Source organism: Homo sapiens, chromosome 3 (assembly GCF_000001405.40).
Source record: "Homo sapiens chromosome 3, GRCh38.p14 Primary Assembly".
NCBI classification, from domain to species: domain Eukaryota; kingdom Metazoa; phylum Chordata; class Mammalia; order Primates; family Hominidae; genus Homo; species Homo sapiens.
Genome location: NC_000003.12, coordinates 29,898,851 through 29,920,222, shown reverse-complemented (window position 1 = coordinate 29,920,222; position 21,372 = coordinate 29,898,851). Strand labels below are relative to the sequence as shown.

General features: G+C 33.6%; 1 protein-coding gene across 15 annotated transcripts in view; it reads right to left on the bottom strand.

Moving 5' to 3' along the window:
* The window catches only part of RBMS3 (RNA binding motif single stranded interacting protein 3), a 729,325-nt gene that overhangs the window by 90,173 nt on the left and 617,780 nt on the right, over positions 1-21,372 (bottom strand). For 10 of the 15 annotated variants that reach the window (XM_017006179.2, NM_001003793.3, NM_001177711.2 and 7 more), the window contains one exon: positions 20,468-20,518. The exons of the other annotated variants lie outside the window; for them this stretch is intronic. In XM_017006179.2, coding sequence (XP_016861668.1) covers positions 20,468-20,518 — 51 coding nt within the window. The remainder of the gene's footprint in view (positions 1-20,467; positions 20,519-21,372) is intronic. 15 annotated transcript variants of the gene reach the window in all.

Genomic DNA, 21,372 nt, shown 5'->3' with positions numbered 1-21,372 from the left:
AAGTGAATGACAATTCACATTTCATTTTATTTGGTCTCAGTCACCTTTCTTGATCTGGTTTGATTATAACCCCATGTGGCTAATTTTCAGCATGTCTGTGAGGATCTTGCTTCTTATTACTGCCATGCATGACCTTTCCCTTGAGTCAGACCTGCGGTAAATAGTCATGCGACAATTTTTTCCTAAGTACGTTAAAAAAAAAGTAGAGAGATCAATAAGGGAACAACTGGCTTTTCTAAAGAGTTCTGGAGTTACTACTCTAAAATCATATTATATCTACCAAATTATTTCATAATTATTTTCCTTAAAATCTGGGTGTAGGAAGAAGCAAAGAGATGATTATGTGAACAATGTGGGAGCAAAGTTTGTGAATGAAGTGACAGAAAAGTTGACAATGTACAATGCTGAAAGCAGCAGGAGCAGCTGCTTCAGGCAGTGACAGCATTATGCAGCCAGGGCTGCATAATTTTACAGGGAAATGGAATCCGCAGCTAGAATTCCTGCCCCTTGAATGTAGTTCAAGGCAGGATTCCCTAGGCCTACACCATGAAGGCATCCCAAGTATTAAAACAAAAATTGTCCAAGATAGAGAGGTGATTAAACACATGTATGTTTTGGTTATAATTACAAAGAGACAGGGATTTACACTGAAAATATAGAGGGACAGCTGACAAAAATTGAAACTGGGATTAGCAAATGGAGCAATGATTGACTTCACAAAGTTCACATGAAGCGAGTGTATACACACCTATATATGAGATAGATGTGAGGTCTGCATGCATTGAAATTCCACAGCTCGAACAGCTGCATTTCTCCTCCAGGAAAGCTTAATTTCTCTACTTTCTTTTATGAGAAATTCTTTTTCTGGCTCTTCATTTTACCTGTCCATCTCTGACTTCCTGGAAGAGATGCTGTATTCCCCCATGCCATGGATGGATAATTCAATATTGATATTATTTTTCAATGGGAATGGTCTTTTTCTTTCATTTAGTGAGTCAGTAGCTGGTCAGTAAAGCTCTCTGGATTTGTTTCTGTAGTATTATAAGGTCTGTGTTTGGCAAATTATTCTCAATGCCATTACATAAATGCAGGATTATAAGCAAAATTTCCTAAGTAGTTTTAAAATTTAATCAGGAAAAACTCTTTAAAAGAGTAGGAAATGTTCCACCTTTATTAAAAATTGTTTTCTCATTTTAAAAATAATTCAAGCATATATAAAAAGAAAAAAGATAAAGCTTTTTGCTTGTTTTTATAACTTTTTAGTTTTACAAGTAGATAATATCTAATATAAGGAAAATGACAAAATATTATTACTTTAGAAGAAACTATTCAATTTGGGTTTGATTCAGAGTTCTTTGATCTTTTAGACTTAATATGTAGGGTTTTGAAAAAAAGTCTCATCTTAAAAAATTAAATAAAAATGTTGTATAATGCTCAAAATTAATTATATGCTGCAACAATAAACTATCTTACGTGTAGAAATTGAAAAGAATGTTAGCATATAGTTTTAGATACTTACATAGAATTTTCTCATAGTTATCTAATCTACTTTTTATAAAGTGCAAACAGTATCATTAATCTGATAACCTGAAATAGCGCTACAATATTTATAACATTAAGGTGGGTCTTATTCAGTGATTATGAACATTAAAAATAAGGCATATTTACCTCAGACATATCACCCAACATAACATAACTTTGAGACAAAAAGAATTAAATTACGGTACATTTGGATGCATGTGCCTGTCAGATCAAAGGTTTTAACTAACCTTAGGACACAAAGAATTAAATTATGATAGTATTTGGATGAACAAGTCTGTCAAAATCAAAGCTTTTAGCTAAATCATAAAACTCCTTTCCACTTAAGATATAATGATAGGATTGCTAAAATATTAAAAAATATCTTACTTCATATGCTAATGTGATTGGCATTAAAGGACATAGATAACATACTAATATTTTGTCTTTCATATACAGAAGAATCCAATAATAATTTTTTATTAATCTGCCAACTTGATTTACTCTAGGTTAAATTATATAACCTGACATATCAAAATTTAATGAAAAAAATCAAGCCAGATATAATGAAATAGAGTTGGTGTTAACTGAATTGAAACATACCTGTCCCAGCTCTGCCACCAACTTGTGTGATATTAGTGATGACAATTAACCTCTCTGAGCTTCACTTCCTTCATCCATAAATACATTATCCTGTTATATTCAGGTTAATCTTTTGTGATAGTATATACAATATTATATAATTGCCTCATGAAAATGCAGAGTGAAGGACTTCTCTGTAATCTGAATAAGGAGGACATTATTCCAAAGCATAGAAGACTCCAAACCTAAAAGACCAATGAACTTCTTGCTGATGCCTGGAATTTTCTAGAAGGTTCACAAACGTTTTGTTACAAAGTAATAGGAAAAATATTGCACACACTTAAGTCTACTGATAACTTCATTTACCCCAAGATGCTAATAACCAGATCAAATTTTTCAGGAGAGGTTTTGGGAGAAGCATCCACTATTAGTTTAGTGGGAGTTGACGGTTGTTTTCTGCCTCCCATGACCCTCTCTAAGAGAATCCCACCAAATGCATGCACACACACACACATGCATGAGATTAGAGTCCCATGAATCTTTCTTTAATAGAATGTATGGCCAGTTTAATTTCTTATTCCTTAAAATACTGATTTGATTTCTCTCTTCCCCAATACACTGGAAGTTTCATAAAGACAGGGACTATACATAATTTATACTGCATTAAATCTCTGAATATGGTGCAGCACATATCTGGTACATAGTGGGTTCTCTTTAAATGTTGTTTAAATGAAAAAGCAAAAGAGAGAAAGAATGACCTTTTGGAACATCTAAGCGTCTTGAAGGAAGGACATCGCCAAGTGGGAAGAAAAGATGTTGAAAATAATGGCTGGGGTTCTAAAAGACAAATTACACCTGCTTGCTATTTTTACCAAAATCTGGCTCCAAATATTTAACATCATTTGCCATAGCATTTTTAGTTTTTAAATTATTTTTCCCCTGCTGGAAGATACATTCCATGAAGAGAGGATCTTTTTTTGGTTTGGTTTTGTATTCTAACTGAATATAGAATGGCAGTGCCTGGCACATAGCAGACACCCAAAAAATGTATGTTGAATGAATAGAGGAATGAATGACTCTGGTTTCGTTTTTCCAATAAGTCACTAACTATAGAGCAATTTAACATTTTCAGTGTTAAGGGAAAAACACTGGCAAATAATATGAACTTTTTCATTGCTGTCATTCTTCCAAGGTCCAGGCAACAGAAATGTTCTTGATTCTGCTAAAAACATTTCAGGAATTAATTAATTACATGATAATTATAATTTGCAGCCTTTAAAATTCTTTCAGAGGATTTTTAAATACCTTGAGATTAATAAAATTTAAAACAAGTTTTTCTTCCCCTAAGGAATCTTTAATTTTCAAATACACATACATTTTTTTCTGGAAATACAATCCACATGTTTCGTATTCTCTTATAACATATATTTTTCTGGAAATACAACCCACATATTTTTGGTTCTCCTTTACTTTCAGTATTCCATCACAATATTGGCTAGACTGATGTGATAATTAAGAGCCTGCTTTAGGACAAATATGTGCTTCCCCTGAACAGCCAATAGGTAAGTTTTCATGATAATTAACAGCCTGCTTTAGGACAAATATGTCCTTCCCCTGAACAGTCAATAAGTAAGTTTTCTAAAAAAAGCAATACAAGGAATATCTAGCTGATTTCAGATTGGCTCAAAATCCTAGTTCTAATGACTTTTAACAATTCAAAATGGGGGAAAAAGCATATGCTCTTTAATGGATATTCACTGGAGATTATTAAACTTAACAAATTAAAGAAGAGAAGATACACTTTAAGCAATAATATGAGGTAATTTAGTAATTGTCTAATAAATTGAATCTGTATAGCACCAAAAGTAAATGGAGAGGGGGAAAGAGAGAAAGATTTATCAGAGAGAGTACAGGGATATGAGGAAAAGTAGAAGGGCTTTCCTCCTTGCATAATTTTGGCTCTGCTAGGAAACCAATGCTGTAACAATTTATTTCATTTTCTAGGACAGTTATAAGATGAAATTGTGTTAGCCAGAACATTTCTCATCATATGCCTGACCATGTGTAATAGAAATGGACAGGATCAAATGGTTGGACCATTCTGATTTACATGGGACTGTCTACATAACTTCATAAGCAAGGGTGATTGCAGTAACAGAGCTGCCTTGCTGAATCTTTACAAATCAGAAATACAGGGAACATATCCTAGTCCATCTCAAGAGAAAAGACTAAAGCTACATGCTTTTGCATTAGAAGTTTTTTCCAGATGCAGAATTACGTTTCTTGCTTCTTTTCTTTGTTAGAATTACAAAAGTGAAAAAGTGACAAATTCCTTGATACTGGTTCAGATGTCAGTAATTAGATAGCACAGATTAAAGGTTTATATTTGAAATGTTTAATCCTTTTGTATCACAGGTAATATTCCACTAAAAGGACCTCCTGCTGATTGTCTGTCAATGAATCCTCACTCTTGACAATTTCGGTTTGAACTTTGTATTTAGAAAAAGACATGAAGGAAAGTTAAATCTTTGAGCCACAATCCAATTTGTAAACATTTGTCTGGAGATACGGGCATACTGTTACGGATTCTTAAGAAACTTACTTTAAACTTCTGCTCTTTAAAATGTCAAATAGAACAGAGAAGAAAACACCAACAAAAAGCATGTATAACATATTCAGGGCATGGAAAAACCCCACAGGAAAACATGATGGTCTTCAGTAATTTAGCTCTCACATCCCCCTATGTAGCTTTTTCAAGTTGGCCATTGGAAACACATTGGAATTAGTGAGTCACTCTGAGCTCATACTTCTATGATCAGTAAAACTGGTTCTCATTACCAGCATCAACCAGAACGTTAGAGAAAAACACGGTTTAAAGCCCCAAAGGCCAAAGATGGGATTATCCAGCAAAGCCTGAAATAATCTATTCTTGTCAATAAAGTAAAAGAAATGGATTTTTTTTTTTTTAGGAACACTCTATTCTAAAAGCAGTGGGAACCCTCCAGTGATAATAGTGTAGGGTTTATAAATCCCTGCATTCACAATGACTTAACAATGAGACAGATATATCTAAACAACAAGATAAATAAACGGTGGACTTTTAAATTTTTCTTATAGGCTTGGCAAAGGTTTATTGCTTTCTTGGTTTTTACTAGGCAGAGGCTTGTTGCTGTGCTTTTCCAATTTTGTTGTTCTTCCACTAGCTGGGCTAGTGGCTATGGAAGAAATACAATTTAATAAAAAAAAGTTTCCTGAAATGTTTGCAAAATGGAAATGAAACAGCTTTTCATGGATACACAGGACAATTTCTGAAACCTTTACATCAACTGCTAGACTTCATTGGGGGCTCCTAAGATTTCTTCTAATTTGAAGTATCTCTATTTTCCTAACTTATCACTGTGGTCAGTTCCCTAAGAGGAAACATCAAGTGCATATACATTTGATTAATTCAAAAAGACATATGTAATACAATACATAATTAGCCATAACAGTATAGGTATAAGAAAAAGCATAATTGGGTTGCTAAACAATCTTGCTTGTAAGGGGCATATGCAAGCATTTAATTTAGTACATATAAGACTAGTAAATTTAAGGTAACCTCAGCGTATGCACAACACTAGCTATTGCATAGATCAAGCATGGTAATTACTATGAAAAGTGAGCGAATTGCTAGAAATCTCATCTATTCTCTCCAGCAGGAATAAATGACTCATAAGTTTATTACTACCCTTCTTGGGTGGCAAACCTGTATTTGGAGGTACATATTGAAAATCTTTATCTGGCCTTGAAAAGTCAACATGCCCAAAAGGAACTATATATCCCTGATCCTCAACTTATGCCTTCTCTTACACATCCTAATTCAGTTTAAGGACCCCACTTTCTACCTAGCCACCTAGGCTGAAATTTCCTGAGTCAGTTTTGACCCATGCATCCACCATATTCTCTTCCTTACTAATTAATACCACAAATCTCAACAGTGTTCAGTCTTTAAATGTAACTCTGAATAACCTCATATAAACACACATTTGTATTATATGTATATGTCAGTCTTTTGGTTAAATAATATCTATAATGGAGGTCAGCTTTCAGCATATATGGACAGTAATGTGTATGTAGTATCCATCAATCATTCATCAGTTCATGCCATGTATAATATAAACACTTCCTTGAAATAAATTTCATATATGCATCTCAGAAAGTTAGATTATTTTGGAGTGTGATATCAGAATCTGAGTATTTAGACATGTATCATGTAACACAAACTTGGAAGCATAATGATTTTTTCAGTATTGATTGAAAATACTTAGAGATACAAGACAAGATAAAAGCCTTTATCGGAAAGTAAGAATTGATTTTTAATATACAACATTGTTATGCAGAAATGGTTCTAATGTGTATTGATTAAGAACCGTTTAAGAATAACTCTTTGATAAAAGGTTTCTCTTCTCAATAGAAGTTTTAAGGTTATTATTCAGAACCCAAGTTGATAATTAGCTTGATTTTCTCTATGCTAAATAAGAAAATAAAGCCAAGAGCACAATGTTCTTTTTAACATAGATGAGGACTAATCCTCTTTCTTGGAATTTGCTTTCAGTTTTCTCAGCTTGTTTCTACTATTTCTCCTCAGTTATGTGCAATGAAATTATACTTATGTTAAGTGATATAAAAGGGAACAAGTACCACCCTAATTTGTAAAATATTATGCATAAACAGTGTGACGCCAACTGAACTATTTGTATGCCTTCCTAGGTCAGCAAGAAGATGTTTTCTCTGCTGATGATATAGTTTTTCTGTCATTTCTCAAGTGCAGATTTCAGAGTCTGCTGAACATATTGAGTAATTATTGTAAGATAGAATGGTTTGATATCAGCTTTATCTGATGCCAAATCATCAATTTATGCAGATACTTTTAAATTCTCATGGTCCACATCAAATAGTTCTATTCTATCAGTTCCGTTTGCTGCCACGGAGTACATTTTACACCTGATTCATCTTGGCAAGTGCATCAGAGTCTAGTACTGTTAAAATCATGAGTACTTTATGAGCCACCTAGTGATGATAGCCAAGAGGTCTTATGCCTGCCCTCAATATTTTAGATGAAATTTGCCTCTCAAGCACTCAACAGCACAGAACTACTAGATCCCAACTGTGTACATGCTTGGGCTCCTGTGAGAGCTTTGAAGACATTTATTAAGGAAAATTCTGGCACAAACTGAACAATCTTGCCATCTTTTCCATGAGAGGTAAAATAGCCTGTACCTAGGTGAAACTATAAATCAGATGGTATAAATTTAATAACATCCTGGCTCAGACTAAATAAACACCAAATAAGCCACATGTCAGCCAATTGGATTTACTGAGTCATTCTTATATCAAGATAGGTTATAAGAAACTTACATACCTGAAGAATATTAATGTAGTTGCCCTATACATTTCTTCAGAAAATTGAAAGTTAACATGTGCTTGGCTTTTATTGAGAGTTAATAAAAGAAATGTCCACAAGAAAATGTTTCTCTCTACAGATGTAACTGCCAATTAAGACACTACGCTGAATAACACAGTTGTTTCAGCTGATATAAACAAATCTGCAACTGAAAAGGAATTAGAATACTACATTATGAACATAAGAGAAATTTTCCTAAATTGTTTTTAACACACCTCCTTACTGACAATGACAATATTTAATGATCAAACTTACAAAGACAAATTTAATATTAGCATCATTTTCCCTAATAAGTTGGGTTTGATTTCAGAGAAGATGCACGTCTTTAATTTTCTCAGAAACCTTTGTCAGTATCCTTGTCTAACGGCACCTGGAAGCTTGTGTCTTAATATTTGCCAATGCAGAAATAGTCTATAAAGTGTAACTTATTATCAAATATTTATTTAGAACAAAATAGAACGGGAGAAATATTGCGAACTATATGGAATAAACTCTCAAATAATAAAATTATACTGTAGTTGGGAAAGAAGAACTAGTGTCATGTCCCAGGATATCTATTACCTATATTCTGTCTGTCTGACCACCCATCCATCCATTCATCCATCCGCATCCCTGCATCCATCCTTCCCTCCATCCATTCATTCATCATCTATCCACCCATTCTATCATCTATTTATCTATCTATCTATCTATCTAGCTATTATGTATGTGTTTCTCCATTTTTCTATCATGTGAATATAACCTGATGAACTTGTTTTACTTGTATGATTAATAAATTATCTCTGAAAATTATTCCCAAAGAATAAATTTTTAAAATGTCCTAGTCTAAGATGGCATCAATGGAAAAGGCCTCCCAAAGTAATTTCATCACATAGAAAAAAGAAACTCATGTAGACATATAAGTTCTGGTATTTTTTCTTAGAATCTCTATCATCTTACTTTATTGTTTGAATAACTTAGCAACGAAGCATTTGTTGACAGTCAAATGATGAGACACTACGCATTCTTGGGGTTCTGAGGGGAGTAGAAATCTCACTTTCACCTGGGGTATTCAGATAATTAGGACTAATTAGCCTTGTGCAGAGGCTATAATGATTACTTTATGATACCCAAGTAATATCAATAACATTCTCTGCATATTACACTCAACTCTGAGTGGAGAACTTGTGAAAGGGCACATCGGATATTGGTGAGGAGGCTTTGCCTAGAAATGCAAACGGAACTCTAGGAGAAGATGCCATGTTTAATGGAATATAGGACAACAGCCCTAATCATGATTAAGTGATACCTTCTGTGGCAGAACTGTTGAAGGGCACACAAATGTCATGCATATGCCCCAGTGTTAGAGGCACCTGGTAGCCTGTAAAAATACCTTGCTTTCTCTTAGATGTTCACCAGCTGCAGCACATGGTGAATAGGACCAAAACCCTGCCTACAATCTACTGATCACTTTGCTCAGAGCACCCTTCCTGCCTGACACCCAACACTTGTTGGTCTAAAAAACTCCTTTTAGTTTTCAAAACCAAGTTCAGGAGTTACCTCCTCTGTGAAGCCTTGTTCTTATTCCTCTACTCCCTCCACAGTGAGTAACTTCCTCCTCTTTACTGCTTATAGACTTTGCACATACCTTAACTGTTAACCATAGATGAACATATTAGAATTATTTGTTTTCTGACAGAGTCTTATTGGGAGGGAAACCAATTGTTCTAAAACAGGGAGAAAAATGTACGTTTAATTCCTATCTTTGGTAAGCTTCTTCTTAGGCAGTAGAAAAGTTTAAAGGCATTTTACTTGTATTTGTGTTATCATTTTGAAAAATCTAACTCTAAACTCCATAATTCTTTAAGCAAACCTGATTAATCCGTACACGCCATACACAAACACACACATGAAAATTATATACATATACGTATACATATATATGTATATGTATAGTTTTTCCCTTTCTCTCCATTAACCACTTCCCTCCCTCCTACACCCTAATTGGTTGACCTATAAAACTCAAGCCTCATGCTAATCAACACCATTAACCATGATCCTAAATTGCAGACATAGCACCTAGGTAGAAATAACTAGGTTCTCTAGAACTAATCTAGCAAAGTCAAAATTCAGAGTAAAATAAAGTATCCCAATGACATACTGAGCAGTAAGAAATCAAAAATAATATCTTTTGATTTACATTTGAGATGTACTCTTCACATTTGAGAATACTCTCAATATGTGAACCCGTTTCTGATCATCTATTTAATGAATACCCAAATACTTCACATAAGTGTTAAAAGTTTTAAATATGTTTGGACATTTTGTTCCAATGTGCTATGAAAGAACAAATAGTTCCATGGTCTATCTGTACTCTCATCCTAAATCCTTCAGTGATTTCCACGAGTAGTTTCTGTTACCCTGGTAACATTTATAAAGTAAATGATCTACCCTACCTCTATATGATTGTCGCCCTGGTAACTTGCTGTTTTCTAGAAAGTCTGACAAGGACTTTATTTTAGCTGCATATTTTCTTTCTTTAGGAAATAAGAATTTAATAGATTGGATATTTAACATTATTTCTATTTGAATTATATTTAATATGTTAAATAGCTATTAAGGAAGTAACATCATCTACATCTTTATGAAGGAACTGGCAAAGCTGTGATACTCTGCTTTACTAATGATGAAGTAATGAAGAAATTCTAAATACTATCCAAGGACACACTGGAGATCATGTATGATTGAAATTTTTCTTCTTAGCAGCTGTCAATTGTGTCATGTCCAGAATGCTGTGCCTGCTGTTCTAAAAAGTGATACATTATGTCTTGAGCTAGTCTTTCATTTTAAAGGTTGTTAGTAAAATAACAGAAAACCACATGCAGAAAGGTAGGCCACATGCACACATACCACACACATGCCCCGCATACTCCCACAGTAACAGAGCTAGAATACTTCAGTTGGGACAATTTTTACGTTACTGGGTATAGAAACAGTGGCCATCTATTAATAGATGCATCCCTATGTACTCTGGAGATGTGTTGGTGCCTAGCACTTGGCAGCTTCCAACCACCATTATCTGAGAATTTAAAAAATGTATTAAAGCATATTTTTTGTATTTCAAAAGATTCTAGACTCACCACTGCCCCTAGACACTCCTGTGCTTAGGAGGCAGGGATCTCAGACAGCAGGAAGCCTTCAGGAACTCTACTTGGAAGATAAACATTACCTCCAAAATTATTTAGGAATATAAAATGACTTTATATACAAAGACTTTGCACAATGGCATTTCATAATGTAGCAGAATTTATTTTTTTCTATTTATAATTGATTCATACATTACTCCACTGCATATTATTACTTTTACGCACACATCAGTGACATAACTTACTCTTTCTGTTTTACATTTTTCAAAGTAAACTTAAATTCTGAACAATAGTACTGGGATTGTCAAGCTAATAAAAAATGTGTAGGAAAGTCTGCCAGATTTGACTGCGTGAAAGTTGTACTTCAATACGTAGCAATTTAACTTTCCAACCAAATATTTCCCTCGTTCTCTAATATAAACATTTCACTTAAGGCAGGCTATTTGCTCCCCCCGTAGTCCCCTTTGAAATAACTTGAGACTCTCCTCCCATACTTTTTGTGTATTATTTTCACTTAAAATGTTCTCTTTTTTCATTTTAGCCCCACAAACATCACCCATCCTTTAAGGTCATCTTTATGTCATTGTTCTTCTCTGTCCTTAACTGTTCACAGAGGCTTCTTTATTTTTTAGGTTATATAATTACTAAAATTTTGACAAATTTTCAACTGTACCTTTTCAATTAAATTATCCTGAGCATATAATGTTTTTCTACAATTATATTTCAAGTCTTGAGGACAAATTATTTCTTATTTTCTCTCCTCCATTTCCAATAATATCTAGAAAAATATCATGCACATATTTGATGCTCAAGAATATTTGTTTTTATTATTTGTTGATTTTTTTCATTGAACCCAAGTTTCTCAATGTTATAAGACGAGGAGTCAATGATTGGTATAGCTAAGGGCTAAGGGAAAGAAAGACTGAATCAAGCGAGCATGTGAGGAAAATATTCCTCAAGTTTTATGACAATCAAGGGCATTAAAAACTCTATACATTCTTAAAAATTACAAATTATTGATTTACAACTTGCTCATACCTAAAAATTCCTTATTAGGCAGTTGGCAACTGATTATTTTTACTTTGTACTACATTTAACTTAAGAACTATATGGCCTATGATCTAATTATCAACAACTAGTCATGGAGCAAAAGATAATGCTAATTTTGTTAAGACCGTGGCATTTCACAATCCAATTGATTTGATCATTCAGCAACATGACTATCAACTATGCAACAGTCAGAGTTCTTCATGATCATGATCATACATGGTATTAACAAATTCTGTTTGTTTGTTTTTTTTTTTGAGACAAGGTCTTGTTTTGTTGCTCAGGCTGGAGTACAGTGGTGTGATCTTGGCTTACTGTAGCCTTGAGCTTCTATCCTCAAACAATCCTCCCACCTCAGCTTCCCAAGTAGCTGGGACTATAGGCATGCACCACCATGCCTGGCTAATTTTTTTGTATTTTTTGTAGGGACAAGGTTTTGCCATGTTGCCCCAGGCTGGTCTCAAACTCCCGAGTTCAAGCAATCTGCCTGCCTTGGCCTCTCCAAGTGCTGGGGTTACAGGCTTGAGTCACCACACCGGGCCAACCTTAACAAATTCTTAAATAGATTATAAAGTTTTAGCCTCCTGAGAACATGTCTGACTGGAGTAATAGATTATTTTTTAAACTGGATTTGGTAAAATAAATGCATCTCTTCCCCAAAACTAAGATAGTCTTGGGTATGAAGATTTTATAATCTCCAAAAAGAGATTTTTTTAATGCTATTTAAAATTGTTTCTGCAATTAGAGAAAAAGGAATTATTCCAAATTAACTTTATAAAGCCTTTGTTAATTGAATATTCAAACCTGACAAAAATAGCTTACTAATTTTATTAATAAAAACTGATGCCAAGATAATAAACTATTCACAAGTATAATCCGGAAGTATATTTTTAACAGGGATATATCATAACCAAATGGAGTTGATGGCAGAATGATTCTACCTTAGGAAAATATTAAAAATTATGATACAATTAATTACAAATATATTAATACAATAAAATTGGCAAAAGGAAAATAATATCAATAGTTTCAAAAAAACTTTGATTAAGTTCAACATCTACACCTAAATTAAAAAATAATTCATAGTGGCATATCCATTATGATAAGAAATAAGTCAAAGGATACATTCCAAAGCCATTTGGCCAGAAAATGAATTATGAAATATAAAGATTTAAAATCAGGTGGAAAATTATATTATTTTTGATGACCTGGAAAAGCTGAGAATGAATTAAATATTCGATTGAAAACAATGAGGGAATTCAGAAAGATAGCTGGTTACAAAAATTGTTTCATATATGAGATAGAAGAAAAGGCTAAACAGCATCATGAAGAATCAACCAAACATTTTGCAAGAGTGGGATACATGGCAGGACAGCTAACCATGAACAGGAAGGGAAAAAAGACTGCCAGATTAAAAGAGCCTTAAATGACCCAATAACCAAATATAATATGTGGTCACTGATTGCTTCCTGGATTGGGTAAACCAGTGTAAATAACATTTTTGCTCAATTGGGAAAATTTGATGAGAGATGATAAAAAATTTCTCAACTGGGAAAAATGGAAAATATTCACTGAAAATAGCACATATTGTGTGATGTCATTTGACTGATATCATTTTGGTAAATGGTATATACACATACATATGATATATATAATGGGTATATTGTATGCATGCATGTTTGTAGATGTAGATAAGTTGGTAGATATTGATATAAATACAGAAAAACATCTGGAAACATGTAACATTAGATATTAACTGTACTAATCTTTGGGTAAGAGGAAATGGGTATTTTATATGCATATTTTAACTTATGTATATATTCTAAATTTCAGCAATACTTTTGAACAATTAATAGATTTTTAAAATTAAATGAATAAAATTAGTATATACATTTTTATACACCAAAGTGATCAATGAGAAAATATAATAAAATTTTTATAATTGCAATGCCGAAGAATATTTATTTCATGTGTTACAAAACTTACACATTAGAAATAAGTGTTGTGTCCTCATGAATGGATTAATGTCAGCTGTGTCCTCATGAATGGATTAATGTTGCCATGGAATTAGATTTGTGGGAATAGCTTTGTTAGAAAAGGAAGCTCTCTCTGGCTCTCTTGTTTTTGCCTTCTTGCCAGGTGATGTCTTCTGCCATGTTATGACATAACAAGATGGCCCTCACCAGCTGCCTGTATCAAGCTCTTGGACTTTCCATCCTCCAGAATTGTGAGCTATATAGACTTATTTTCTTTATAAATTACACAGTCTGTGCTACTTTGTTATAGCCACAGCAAAAAACTAAAACATATAATAACAAAAATACTAAGATGCCAGGAAAACATTAAGCAATGTATAGAATACATATGGCGGAAACCTGATACTCTATTAAGTGATCCAAAATACATAAAAGAATTCTTGGGTAGACGAAAAGTTCTTTTTCTTGTATAGAAAAATTCAATGTTGTAAATATGTCATATTCTTAAATTTCCCATAAGTCAATATATAATTTGAAATTTTAGTACATTTTTAACTTCATAAAATGCATTAAAGTTCATCTGAAAATGTAAAATAGCTAGAAAAATTTTTGAGAAACAATGAAAAAAATATTGTGGACATTTCCTATCAGTTTATAAGGCAAGTTTCCCCAACATGTGGCCCACTGGCTGCATGCAGCCCACAACGGCTTTGAATGTGACCCCACACAAATTCACGATCTTTCTTAAAATATTATAAGACTTATTTATTTATTTTAGCTCATCAGCTATCATTAGTTTTAGTGTATGTTATGTGTGGCCTAAGACAATTTTTCTTCCAATGTGGCCCAGGGAAGCCAAAATATTGGACACCTCTGATTAAGGTATTGTCAGTTATAGTAGTCAAAATAGAGCAATGCTCAAAGGAAATAGAGAAGCAGGACAGAAGAGCATTTGGAAAACAGATACAAAGATAAAAAGATTTTATTATGTGATAAATATTGGCATAAAATTTATGCCAGAGGACGAAATATAGAGGGTTTCTTTGGTAAAATTTGTTATGGCAATTGGTTCCATGTTTGGGGGAAAAAAAATCAAAAAAATGAAATTTTGAATCTTAATCTCATCTCATGCTATAAAATAAACTTCAAAGGTAACAACATTTTTAAACAAAATTTACTATAAGCATAGTAAGAAAACATATGGCATTTTAAATCTATAGTGATTAAGGTATTTTGCATGGAATACAGATGCTCTAAAGCTGGGGTTGTCAAAATATAGGCTGTGAGTCAAATGTGGCCATACCTATTTCTGTAAATATAGTTTTATTGGAACTCAAGGCACACCCATTCATTATGTATTGTCTATGGATGCTTTCACAATAAACCATAGAATTGAGTAGGTGTGACACAGACCATATAGCTCACAAAACAGAAAATATTTACTGTTTGGCTTTTTACGGAAAAAGTTTGCTGACCCTTGTTCTAAAAGAAAGACTGATACATTTGAATACATAAATACCAAAAATCTGCATGACAAATATACAATTAAAATTTAAAGTCAACTGAGATAATATTTAAATTATCTATGACACTATAAACTTACTAACTGTAATAAGATCTTTTATAAATAAGAAAAGATCAGTACCTCAAAAGAAAACTAAGCAAAGCAAACCAACTTGAAGTTCAGAGATAAAGAAAACAAAATTAGTCAATAAACACGTGAAAATCAACTCAACTCATAGGATTCAGAAATGAAAATAAAATATGAGTGAGACATTTACCACATTAACAAAATATTTAAAACTTGAGATTACCTGCTTTTAATTGAGGTTATGGAGAAAGAAAAACTGCTATCTAAAAGGCAATTTGAAAATAATGTATATCAAATTTTAAAATGTAAATATCTTTTGTGTCAGCAACTTATCTGACAGACGTTTTCTCACTAGGGTGTAATATTACTGTCTTGAGTTTTCAAGAAAGTACACCTTTTGGTGCATTTATACAGTAGTGACAATGGAGCTGTTAGCAAAATTGATATAGATCTATATATGGCTCATATTTATTGACATCCAGAACATTTTATTATTGAGGAAAAATAAAGCAAATCATAATACAACATTTGTAGAGTAATATTGTTTCTATATTAAAAATACACATTTACACACATGCAAATATATAATTTCATATGCATATAAAATTGACTGGATAGAAATATCTGATTTTGTTTACAATGTGTATTTCCGGAGAATAGAAATGATGAATGAAGGGATCCTAGGTGGAAAATCTTTTATACTCTATACACTTCTTTTGAATTATAAGCCTTGCATTTCATTGTTTAAAGTTATTTTACTAAAGTTGCTGAGATTATATTTGAAAAATTACCGTAAAATTTTGAAGTTATATTTAACGGTAGCAAAGCCAGGACTATTTTCTACAGTAATTAGGGCAAATTTGGTGATAATGCCTTCTCAAAACACACACCTACAAAATTGAAGGACACAACTCTAAAACTAGGCCTTAGGCCTTACATGTTTAAGGGCAAAGAATGACCAAATTAAGTATTCTGGGGCTTCTTAAACAGCCTGGTTGTAAAGAAGAAGTTTATATTTTCTCTTTAGCTGAAAACTCAGGGTTCATTAATCATAACGATTATAATTTTTTATTTGCTTGCAACTTTTTTGCCATTTGTTGCCATGGCAACAAATCATGTATTGATTCAATAAGGGCATCTTGCATTTCTTAGAATACTGTAATTAGATAACCAATTTGTAATTAAGTCAAAATGAAAGCTGACCTTTCTCCTTGAGATGATATAACACTACCCATATCAAGAACAGAAGATTTATGCTTCAAATGAGCTTAAATAAAGTTTAAGAAAGTGGAACTCTGCTTCCTCTTGAAAATTATCATCTTTTCTCCTTGTCAGTAATAACAGATGTAACAAAATATCCAATGTATTGGAACACAGCAATTTCAACTGTGTATTCATATGACATTGCAATGTAACATACTGCTCTGTAGAGTAGGTATTTGGTGCAATCCATCAACTATTAAAATTCTGTTAGTGCAATGGTGAGATTTCAGCATGCAGTATAGACGTCTGTGCTGAGAAGCAGAAGCAAATAACCAACTACATTGACAAAGTCAGCATTTTTACTTCTCAGAAAAAAGGGAATTCCTAATTTAGTCTAACAGTGCTGTCTTCTCAGAGTCTATTCAGGTGAACAATAACAAAAGGCAAACAGAAATGCTCTTGATTCTCTACGTGGGGTTTGACAGCTTTCCAGGAGATCCAATAAGTTCCCAGGGTCCAGTAACAGAAATCTCTTTTCTTTCCAAAACATCAGAATTATAATCCATGCAAAGAGACATCTATCCTTTCTTCCCAGAGTATTTTTTTTCTAAATCTACAAGCACATTACTTAGAAAATTAAATGTACAAAGAAACAAACTTAAATGGCAAACTTTAGAAATTATATGCTTATGTTTTCTATTCTTCTTTCATGCCTTTACTGTTCCCTTTAGTTCTCTGTGCCATTTCATTTCTCTCTTACCAGTTGTTGCCCCTCCAGTTTACCCATTCATCCTCCTTAGCAAAGAGATCAAGGTCATTGCGCTCTACTTTAGAACTTTACGGAAGCACTGTTTTCAGATACAAACCAGATTGAGACATTAGAGCCCTTTAAGTCAAGCCTGAGAGAGAACCCGAAGGGCTTCTAGCCTAGGCAATACATCTGGCTCCAACTCAGGAATCAGTGTACACGCTTGGTGATAGGGGAGGTATATTCCTGTACAATGAAACCTCATGCATGAAATTATCATAAAGTGAGGAAAGAGAAAATGTGACAGAGAAGAAAAGTTGCAAGCAAATTGGAATTATGGGCAATATATTTGAGACATAGATTTTGACACCTTGAATTTATTTGTAAGGTAGTCTCCAGTTACTGAAAAAAGGAGATTCTCAATGGGCATTTTTTTTTAAGTTTTAGGTGTTGAATGTTTAGAAAGTAAGTGAAATAAGTACCAATGTAAGCAATTTGTCTTGTTTATAGCCACAGAGTTTCTCCACCAAACTCATTAGCAAAGTAAGGTAATTAGCACTATGAATGTGGTAGAAATAGATGATTCTCAACAAAGTTGCTTACTTTCAACTTTCTGCTTATAACAACACTCATTTGATAAAACTGGGATAATTTAAAGCATAATGAGAAGTCTACTAATATAATTAAATAATAATAATTTATTGAGTGCTCTTTTCCAGAAATTATTTTAAGAGCTTTAATGCCTTATTTCATTTAATGAACAAAACATAATTATTTGGGTATTATTATGTCCATGTTACAGATGAGAAACTGTGGCTCAGAAAGTTTATGTAAATAGCTCAATACCCCCTTGCTAAAATGGGTTTCCTGTCCTAATGAGCTCAACCAAGAATCCATGTTGTTAATCATCAAGTTCCTCATTAATTCTTCTCAGATTCAGGTTTTTTGATTTGTTGTCTAAGATGGCTTGAATATTTTTATATTTTAGTATCATAGGGTGACTTAACCTCACTTTGATGATAAAATTAAAGCCAGTTGGGTAAAGTTACTTATGTAATATGGACAGCCAACAAGATTATTACAGGGAAATGATTGATGGTACAAACTCTGTGTTTCCATGATACTGTTTTGCCCTTTTCTCCATCTAAAAGATAGCAAAGTGGTGTGTGGCCCAGCCACTTCTATTTTTCCAGGAATCCACCCCAGCCATAAACATTACATTTAAACCTAGTGGCCTAAGCTCAAGCACGATGCATAATTTAGTCATGGGAGGTGATACGATATCAGCTCTGAGTAGTAGCCACAGCAAGGAAAATCTAAAAGGACAAATTAAAGTACACACACACATGTACACACACACTAATAATACACACACAGAAATAATACATGCGAACACGAGGCTGAAGCTGTACTGGGGTGGAAAAGGAGGTGTGTGAAAAGCTTTGTAAAAGTCCTGAGTGACAGCTGAAATAAAGTCCCATACAACCATCTTCCCTGCCCCTAATAGATCTGGAAGTACTGAAGAATCTTACATAGTTTGACATCTGGTAAAATATTCAGATTTTGCCAGATGTGCACTCCTTTTGGCCACAAAGAGATGGTGTTAAAACTCAGTATGAGGACTAAGTTAGTATTAGTGCTTTACGGATGAACACATTTTTTAGAAGGTGGTTGTTTCCTTCCAGAAAGTCTCCTTTTGAGAACTTGGCAGGACTTCTTTCCTTTTCCTCCGTTGGCTCAGTCTTTGCTATGCTATGTATTGCTTTGGCAGCACAAACTGAATTTTACCTTATGACTTGGACAGAAAAGTGTAGCCTGGATTTGTTGCATAGTGGTATGATTTATAGAACATAGACTAGATGAACTCAGAAAGCCCTCAAGGTGTGTAAATAATAGTAAATAAAGGGATTTGCAAAATATGGTACAAAGTTCTGCTGTGGTAAACTACATATATTTTATTCTTTAAATAAAAAACTATCAAAATGTTTGGAGCAACATGAAAAGTTCCTTATTTAAAAAAATAAAATGGACCCTGCTCAGATATGAAAGCCAGATTCTCTAATTTTCTGAGTTCAGGAAATGGATGTCTGCGTATTTAGCTCCCTGGTGTTTAATGTATACTAACTTACTTACATTTATCTTCTAAAGGGGTTAAAATTTAGCACTGCTTCTTCCTTGTATAATGAACACATTCAATAATAATGAGGACAATGATAATAATAATGCATAGCATGTATACTTTTTTACATTGTCTTTTACATGTGATCTCTCATTTGATCCTCACAAAAGCACTATTAAGTATATAGTGTCAGAAAAGGAAACAAATGCACAGAGAGCATACCCAGAAGAGTCACCAGAGACCTTGTCACACAACTTCCAGTCTAGGGCTCTTTCCCCTGCCTCACACCCTCATGAGTGTGTTGCTATTGAAATCTCTATCTCGCACTTCTATAGAGCTAGAAACCCTGGAAGACTTAGGCAAAGATAAATGCAATCATTAGCCTTCAGTCTAGATTCTAATGTAATACGTCATACTTTTCACTTGGAATTGATGTAATATTGTGCCATAAAATGGGAAATCTAGCAAGTAAAAAAGAGAATTTGAATATTTTGCAGAGAGAAAATTTCCACTATAGAAAAAGAAAACTGCTATAGTTAATTAACATGAAAATATTTACACACCTTGCCATCTATCTATATAAATTCATCTATTAGCAGACAACTACCTTCATATTTGAAATATATTGCTTCAAGTCAAAACTTGTCTATGATACTCCAAATTGTCCCTAAGGCATATCAGACTGTGGCCAAAGAAAGAAAAGCATATCAGAAAGAGAAGGGAAACAAAGAGTTTCCTTGTAGAATAAATTTAATTGTCCGGAGTTCTGAGTTCCTGCATAAAGCAGAAATTCCTCATGCATAAGAAATGGTAGACTCAGCTTGAATGGTTGATTGCTATTTCTTCTAATAAAGTTTCCAGGCACTCTCTCTCTCTCTCTCACTCTCTTGCTTTTTCACCCTCTCTCTTTATCTGATTCTATGTCTATGTTGATCTCTAGCTATCTATTGTACATGCTTTTGTAGAATTTCAGGAACAGCTTTTTATCTGGAGAATATGGCTGCCTGAACGAGTTACATATTATAACAAAAGCTTTACCCCAAAGCTTCTATGCATTCCAAAAGCTTGTACTTGGATAATAGAAATATTAGCCTCAGGTGACTGAGAACACTTACTGTTGGTTGCATAACGTATGGCGGATGAGGCATCCATGAAGTACTCTGGACCTATGCATCAAACAGCATTTATTAGCACAAAGCAATCATAGAGAGAACTTGGTTCTTGTGTTCAGTGGAGTCACACTAGGTCATAAGAAAGTGGAGTCCACCTGACTTTACAGTTAATTCGTGCTCAAAACCAAGGGTAAAAAGGGAATTCTTGGACTTGATTAAATTGGTCCCTGAAACAAGGTAAAAGGTAAAGCAACTTCCCCTATCAGTGGAGCTGACTTCAGTGCCCACATGGCCCAGGCTGGGTCTTGGAGCATATTTTGAGGTTGATGTTGAACGCTAAAGTTTTAGGAGGCCTCAGAGACCATTTGAAGATCAGCTTTCAGGGATGTCCTGGCAAGTAATGAAGGAAGCAAGAGTTGACTGCTAAGACTTTCTCTTTTTCTGTCATCAGTTGTAACTTCAAATGCTCAAGTGATCCCATTTTAGAAATATGTCCAAGTGGTAAAAGTTGTGGTAAGAGCTAAAGAGATAAACCAAAAATTTGGGGCAGTTATTTAGGTTTAACCCAAGTTAAGCAAGTTTGTAATTATTTTCGCTCATGGTAATTGGTATAACACATAAAAATGAGTATGTCAGCCAGCCAACTATTCTTAAATGTACCATGTGTCAGACAAATGAAAAAGTCAGCCTGTATAAGCTGAATGTCACGTGGAGAACTCAGAAGATTTTTTTTATATACTCACACACACAGAATTGCCAAAACACTTTGGATTGAAAAAACCTGGTGAAAGGTGAGAATCAACAACATCGATCATTGCTGTAATCTCTTCTTTTGAGAAAAGGGAGCTAGAGTTAAATTCCACTTATGAGCCCTCCCAAGTAAAATCACTCTTCAGTGAATATTTTAT